The following is an 8113-nucleotide window of genomic DNA, read 5'->3' on the forward strand; positions in this document are numbered from 1 at the left end:
CCAGGGAGCTGACCCACTGGAGGTGGAGGTCCTGACAGTGAGCTGAGGCTGTCCTCATGGCGTCCACTGTGGGAAGCATGGGGCACCTGGGGCCTGGGGGTTCCCATCCATTTCCCAGGGTTCGCAAAACATATGCCTCTATCTACTTCTTAATGTGGGACAAATTCCTTCTCGTACCCAAACCATGTTTCTCCATGAGGTTCTTAGATTCTCCTCCCAAGCACCCTTTTCCAGCACAAATTTATTATTTCCCTGCTGTGCTGCAGCCCCGGCTCCTCCTGGCTTCGTGCCTCACACACCTGCCGCTGTCTCCTGACCGGGTCGCAGTGTCAAGTTCTTTACACATGTGTACGTGCAGAGCGGACACACAGACACCGGAGAAGGTGGGAACACATGTGGATGTGCAGAGCGGATGCACAGACACTGGAGAAGGTGGGAGGTGGGGAGTAGCTGAGGGCTGGGGAATTGCCTGTGGGATATGATGCTCACTATTCGGGTGACAGCTGCCCCACCTTCACCACCACACAATCCATGCGTGCAAGAAATCTCCACCCATCCCCTCCAAGTATATAAACATATGATGAGAAGGAGAAACACTCTACACAGAGAATGTGACCCAACCTTGCTTCTCTGTCCACTTCCTGCTCAGCTGGCACACAGAGTAGAGCATGGGCACCTCCCAAGACCACCATGGCCTCCTGGTGAGGAGGCAACACCACGGGCTTCCAGATCTCCTTGTGTGTTCCTCAAACTCTCCTTGCCGCTGAGTGTAGGACGCTGTTTTCTGTCTTCGGTGCTCGCTCTTCTGACATCAGAGATTGACAGCACTGAGTCAGGAAGGAGAAAAGGACTCTGGCTTTGGGCCACGACAGCTCCAGATCCCATACCAACATCACTGTGGACTGCAGAATTTTTCATTTTTCTGGAAATCTCTTTTTTCATCTAAAATATGGAAATAATATCATTTACCTTACAGGGTTGTTGTGATGAAATGGTTCACTCAAAACCACTTCCCAGGAGGTTTCTGATGTAAACATGGCTCCCAGCACTGGGGCACAGGGAGGACAGGCTCTGCCCTCGGGATGCACACCTTCCAGTGTGCATTTAAGGAAGTGCAAGCGAGTTCATCAGGGAGCAGAATGAGTTTAGATAAAACTTCTGTAATATAATATAAAGTGGGGCTTCTGGGTGGAGATGAGTGGGTGACACTTTAGATGGGGGCCCAGGAAGTCCCCTCTGAGGAGGTGATGGCCGTGCAGAAGCAGATCAACATAAGCCTCAGCCAGAGGCACGCTCTGAGCAGAGGCGGAAGCCTGCTGGGGCCACTACGAGGAAAGACACTTGTTCTACAGGATCAGTGCGGGTGCAGCACTCTGAGTAAGTTACCATCCTAAAAATGAGGCTCTCCGTGGAGGCCACGTCACAAAGGTTGTCATACACGTGGTGCAGGCATTGGGTTTTATTCTGAGGACCTAAGAGCGATGGAAAATTCACCACAGCTCTGCACAGGCAAAGGAGGTTGTCAGATGATGAGATTTTCTAAGTGAAGTATTTGAGTCTCACAGAGGAACATATGTATTACACATCAAAGTTATAAAGCCTAAGAAAAAATGAACACTGTGTTGTCTATGGCAAGTAGAACATTGTCAAACCATTAAAATATACCTGGACACTCCTCCCCCAAGAGAAAACCACATAATTAATCACACAGAAAAAATCAGCAGTGGCTGATTGCATTTTCCAAAGACGGCACAAGACAAGCCCTCATCACACTTGCTCCTTCACAGTGGGACTCTGACTTTGACACACCTACCAGGATATGGGGTGCCGTGTCCCTGTCCTGGGTCCCAGGCAGTCTTTGTGACTTCCCCTGTGAGTGGGATGACATGGGATGAAAAAGTGATGCACCTTGTTGTCTTGAGACTTTTGTTCTTGGAACCAGCCACCTTGTTGTGAGGCAGCCCAAGAGGCCATGAGGAGGCCTGTATGGCCTGCCCTGCCATGGCCCCAACCCACAGCCCTTGCTGCTGATCAACACCAACCAGCTAGTCACAAGGGCAAGTCCATGTGGAAAGTGAAACTTCCTGCTGCCCCAAGCTGAAGTGTATGAAGCAAAGGCAAGCTGTCTCCTGGGATCTCTGCCCAAGTTACAGATCTGTGAGCAACACTGTGACTGCTGCTGTTTTCATTAGCTGAGGCTTGAGGTTGTTCATCACAAGGTACTAGTAAGTAAAAGAGATTTTGTACCAAGACTGGGGTGCAGCCATAAGAAAACCCAATGCATGTGTCCTTAGTGCTGGGAAGTGAGAGGCACCTGAGGGCCTTAAGTGTCTGTAACAGGAGATGTTCTAGATTTTCCACATTAGGGATGAAGTGCTGCGATTACTTAACTGTTTAGATAGTCTTTATTAAGTTACAAAAGTTTTCCTTTTTTCCTACTTTGTCAATAGTTTTTGCTCGATTAGTTCATTTTGTTTTTCAGTTCATGAGTTTTGAATTTTATCAAATGTTTTTTTCTGAAGCCATTGAACTCTTCACAATTGTAAACTGAGTTATGTTGTGTTTTCTCTTCAATACACAGCTGGGTTCATTTTCTTAACATAGGCAAGTTTTCCATCTGCATTTATAGAAGTTTCTATGTGTTCTTTCTTGTGCTTCTCTTGTCTAGTTTGAGAATCAAGTTTGCCACAATAAACTTAAATAATGGACTTGGTTTTGTGTGTATGTTTTTATTTTTAAATTTTATTTAAAACATTATTTTATATATATATGTATTTATTTTTTAAGTTTTTTTCTTTCTTATCTTATTTTGGATTGTTTTCTTTTTCTGTTTTCTTGTCTCTACAGATTTGATGGTTATATACTACATTCATATTTCTTTAATAGTTACTTAACAAGGCCTGAAGTTAATTAGTATCTGTCTTAACTCAGACTGCTCTAACAAACACCACAAACTGAGGGGCTTAAACACCAAAAATTTATTTTCTCACAGTTGTGGAGGCTGGGCACTGAAGATCAGGGCAGGAAGGAGGCACCCAATTTGTTTCCTGTGAGGGTTTCTCCTTGTGTTCTTCTAAGTCGAGAGCTCAGTGGTGTCTCCTCTTATCAGAACACCAGCCTGATGGGACCATGCCCCGCCCGGTGACCTCCTTCTACCCTGATGATCTCCTTATTGGAGCCACCACCAAATACAGTCCCACTGGTGGCTAGGAATGGACGTATAAATTCTGAGAGCACACGATCCAGCCCATAGCAATATCTGTAGTCTTCTCCTAAAAAGTAAAGAATAAAGAGCTTGAACAATTAGATTATGTTCAATTGTGTTCTCCTGAATTATCGGTTACTGCTGTCCAGTACTTTATCTTTCTCTCTCTCTCTCAAATGCATGTTATTATTATAATATCATTAATGTCACAATCATCATAATTTTCTGTAATGTGTTTTAGATTTAAACAAATAACCAATTCATTTTCTTCCATAACTTCTTACTTCTTTTACTATCACCTGGTAAAAGGAGGACATCTCTTAGTAGTTTCTTCAGGGAGTCTGTGTGTAGTAAACCCTCCCAATTTTCTTCAGCTGAAATGTTTTAAATTTGTTCTTATTCATGAAATATAATTTTACAGGGCACACACATCCAGGTTGACAATTATTTTCTATCAGCATTTTAAGGGATTATTCCAAACTTCTCTTAACTTTTAGTATTGCTTTTGGAGGTCTGCAGTCTACCGAATTGTCATTCTTATTAGACAGTGCCAAAGTTTTCTCTCTGTCTTACATATTTTACGTTTAGACTGGTTATTCTCAATTTTACTCCAGTATGTCCAGATGTATCTTTGTTTTGTATTTATTCTGCTTGATAGACAGCATGCTTTTGTAATCAAATTGTTTACTCATTTTTTTGCAAATATAGTCTCTCTCTAATTCTTCTTGTTCTATCCTATTGTAATTACATTCAATATGTACTGAATCTTCTCACTTTATCAACAGAATTTTAATAAACCCACATTTTTCATCTTCCTTTCTCTGTATTTCTCAACAGCCTCCTCTATGGACCACATGGCTGGTGCTGCAGGGAGGATCTGGGTCACCTCCCTGCTGGCCGCTGGGTCTCTACAGGCCTTGCTGAAAACCTTCCTGGGTAAACACCTACAGCTTGCATAACTTAGATCCGATGGCCCACAGGAGAGATTGCAACTGGGTGACCACGTGCCAGGGCGCCACATCAACAGCACTAGGAGCTGCCTTGGGGATGTAGGCGCCTTCCACGGGCTTTTCCAGAAACCAACTACAGGAATATTTTTAGAAATAGAGGTGTTCTCAACAAACAGAGTGGAACTAGTTAGATAAAATTAATCATTAGTGTATAGATCTCTGTAAATGTCTAAGAAATTATTATTAACTTAAAGCACTATTCTTACTAAACCTCCATGTTTTATGATGGAAACATATTATTTTTTCTGAAATGGTGTGTGGATTATCATCTACATTTCAATTGAGACATAAGCTTTGAATTGCTAGTTATCATTATTGCTTAGTGCAGTTGTTGTAACAAAAACAACCAAACCGAACTTTAACTTATTTTTATTTATTTATTTATTTACTTATTTGCAAACTGAATCTTGGAAAAAAAACCAAATCATCCTTAATCCCTGTAGTTTCGTTTATTAATCAACTTCTGCCGTGTACTGAAGCCTGTGCCACATCCAGGCATGCGGCAGCTCCAGGACCCATAGCTCTGTACCCAGGGATGATAACTCAACAGCAAACCTCTGCACCCTGCATTTCCTGGAACCGAGGGATGCAGTCTCCATGTGCTGGGATCCCTTTTCTCGATTCCTATTCAGTTTCTAGTAAGTCATTAGGCCACCCTCTGTCCGTACTTCTGGGCGCCCTGCACAGATCACAGGCAGTGTCCCCGCAGGCATCTCCTCTCCCCACCTGCAGTCAGTCTCAGACCCATAGACTGGGTGCCTTTGCCACCCTTCTGGATAGTTTTCATTGACATCAGAAAATTGGAGAAACTAGAAAAATACTGACATCTATAGAATGTGAAATATAATTTGGAATGTAAACTTGAAAATTAACCTTGGAAATAAAAACATTCATCATGTTGTAAAGGTGTTCAGAGGAGAAATGTGTGGAACCCAATACTACAGCTGAGCCCAGCTAAGGGTCCTGCAAGGGGTGACCTCAGGTTTTTGTTTCATATCTTTCTTTCCTTCTTTTTTCTTTCTCTCTCTCTTTCTTTTCTTATTTCTTTGTCTCTTTCTTTCACTCTTTCTCTCTCTCTCCCTCTCCCTCTCTATTTTTTTCTTTGTTTTTTTTTTCCCCGCTGTCTAACAGACCAAAATGTGGCCTCATCTCAGGTCCACATATGTTATTTCTTATTCCATCGCATTGTCCTCCAGGCTTTCACCAGAGGTCGAGGGGGGTAGGGGAGTCGGTGGTCGCATATGAACCACACTCGTTCTTAACGGCAGTTCCACAGACAGAACCCTCTCCAACCATTCCCCAGACCCTGCATTTTTCTTTCCACGTTCCTCACTCATTTCCTTTTCCTCTCACACAGGTCGTGCCAACCCTTCCTGTGACTTTCCTGAGATTCCCACAGCTTCACCATTTTCCCAGGTCCTCAAACCCAAATGCTCCAAAGCTATGATGACCCTGCTGTCTTCCAGCCTTTCTCAAATATGCTCACAGCACATGTGGTCTGAAGTGGATCTGCTATCACACTGCATGTCTCCTACATCTGTGAGGCCCGATGGGCTTCATTCATGGTTTTGATATGTTCTGCTTTGCCAAGAATAGTCAAGAAAAAAAAAAGAAAGGAAGGAAGGGAGGGAGGGAGAAAAGAAGGAAGAAGGGAAGAAAGGAAGGAAGGAAAGAAGGAGGGAGGGAAGGAAGGAGAGAGGGAGGGAGGGAAGGAAGGAAGGAAGGAGGGAAGGTAGGTAGGAAGGAAGAAAGAAAGAATATAGTCCAGCAGTTCCTTACAAAACTAAACAGACAATCCAGCAATTACATGTTTTGACATTTACCAAAATGAACTGAATGTTTATGTCCACACGAAACCTGCACATAAGTGTTTATAGCAGCTTTACTCATAATTGCCTAAACCTGGAATTAACCAAGATAACCTTCAGGAGGTGAGTGGATAAAAATTGTGGATAAATAACCTCAGTGAGTGGATAAATAAACTATGATTCATCTAGACAAGGGAACATACTTCAGTGTCAAAAAAACTAAGCCATGGAAAGACACAGAAGAACCTTAAATGCATGTTTCTGGGTAAAAGCCGCCAATCTGAATAGGCCGCCTCTGCGTGACTCCAACTCTATGACATTCTGGAAATGGTCAAACTATGGAGACGGGAAAAAGATCAGTGGTTACCAGGGGTTGGGAGGAGGGAGGGAGCAGGTGGAGCAGGGAGGACTGTTAGGGCAGTGGTGCTCCTCCGTGTGATGTTACCATGGGGGATACGCAGCATTGCACGTTTGTCCAAACCCACAGGAAGTACAACAGCAAGATGGAGGCCTAATGGAAGCGACGGGTTACTCTGGGGGACGATGAGTGTCCGTGTACGTTTGCTGATTTTAGCAAATGCAGGGCAGTAAGCCAATAAGTAAGTAACAGGAGAAATTGGGACTGGATGGAGTATTGGAACTCCACTCAATTTTCTGTAAACCTAAAACTGATTTAAAAAAATGAAGTCTATACATTTAAAATGTAATACTATAGAAACAGCATGAGGTTTTTTGAGTATAGACAGTGGTTGCCCTCATAGCGTCATTTACTGGTCAGCATTTTATTTTTCATGTTATCTCTTTATTTGAAACATTGTAAATCCCAGAAGGCCCTGTGGGTGCCAGAAGAAGAGCTGCTGAGCGGCGGTTCCCACGCGTGCTGCAGACGCTTTTCAGAGACAAGTCTTGGTCTTTGTGCTGGACGGAGGCAATGCTGCTAATGGGAGGCGGAGCCCACCTGCTCCTCAGCCAGGCCGCAGGGAGAGGCAGGCAGCGGTGAAAGCCGCTGAGCGGGAAGCAGGGCCGGGATGTAAGGCAGAAGCCGCAGGGACGTCGGCTGGGCCTCGGTTGAGAGCAGGGGAACGAGGAGCGGGTCTCCCAGTCGGGCTTCTATCTAAGGACAGAGCTGCTGTGCACCGGCTCCCTGAACTGCTCCTGCTCCCTGCAGTGCTCCCACTCCCTGCTGTGCACCCGCTCCCTGCTGTGTACCCACTCCCTGCTGTGTACCCACTCCCTGAAGTGCACCCACTCCGTGCTGTGCACCCGCTCCCTGCTGTGTACCCGCTCTCTGCAGTGCTCCTGCTCCCTGCAGTGCTCCCGCTCCCTGCAGAGCTCCCCCTCCCTGCAGAGCTCCTGCTACCTGCTGTGCACCTGCTCATACAGTTCACCCACTCCCTGCAGTGCTCCCACTCCCTGCTGTGCTCCTGCTACCTGCTGTGCACCTACCTGAAGTGCTCCCACTCCTTTCAGTGCTCCTGCTCCCTGCAGCGCACCTGCTCCTTGTAGTGCTCCCGCTCCCTGCAGTGCACACGCTCCCTGAAGTGCTCCCGCTCCCTGCTGTGCTCCCGCTCCCTGCTGTGCACTCGCTGCCTGCAGTGCTCCCACTACCTGCAGTGCTCTCGCTACCTGCTGTGCACCCGGAGCTGCCGAGGCTGGGCCCTGGATGGTGCAGGTGGGCCTTGGGTGTAGAGTGCAGCCTCGCCCCCATTTCCCGTGGACGTTTCCAGCCGCCCGAGTCTTCTGAGACCACAGATAAGGTCAAGCGAAGGAGGGCGTATCACTTCAGCTTCCAACTTCTACTCTCTACTTAAAAGTAGTTCCTGAGGCCAGCAGCGCGTCAAGGGCCAGGGTGGGGCCCTTCATCCTTTCTCTTCGTGTGTCTGAGCCTCCCAGTGTCCAGCAGGCAGAAGTGGTGAGCTCCTCGGGCCTGCAGCATCTTGTGAGGCTCATCCCTATCATAGCACAGCCCCCACAGAGCAGCCTCTCAGTCCCTCCATTCTCATCATGTTACTTCACTGGATAGGTCTTCTTTAAAAAGCATTCGTGGGCCGGGCACGGGGGCTCACGCTTGTAATCCCAGCACTTTGGGA

At 46.1% G+C, this 8113-nt stretch overlaps 1 annotated feature.

Annotated features, from left to right (window-relative positions):
* Positions 6828 to 7403: an enhancer, noted in NCBI's record as "H3K4me1 hESC enhancer chr2:660609-661184 (GRCh37/hg19 assembly coordinates)". NCBI's record gives its function as "activates a minimal SCP1, AML or CMV promoter by ChIP-STARR-seq in naive H9 embryonic stem cells {active_cell/tissue: H9 hESC(naive)}" and the evidence as "EXISTENCE:reporter gene assay evidence [ECO:0000049][PMID:30033119]".

The sequence above is a fragment of the Homo sapiens genome, chromosome 2, assembly GCF_000001405.40.
Source record: "Homo sapiens chromosome 2, GRCh38.p14 Primary Assembly".
Taxonomy (NCBI): Eukaryota; Metazoa; Chordata; class Mammalia; order Primates; family Hominidae; genus Homo; species Homo sapiens.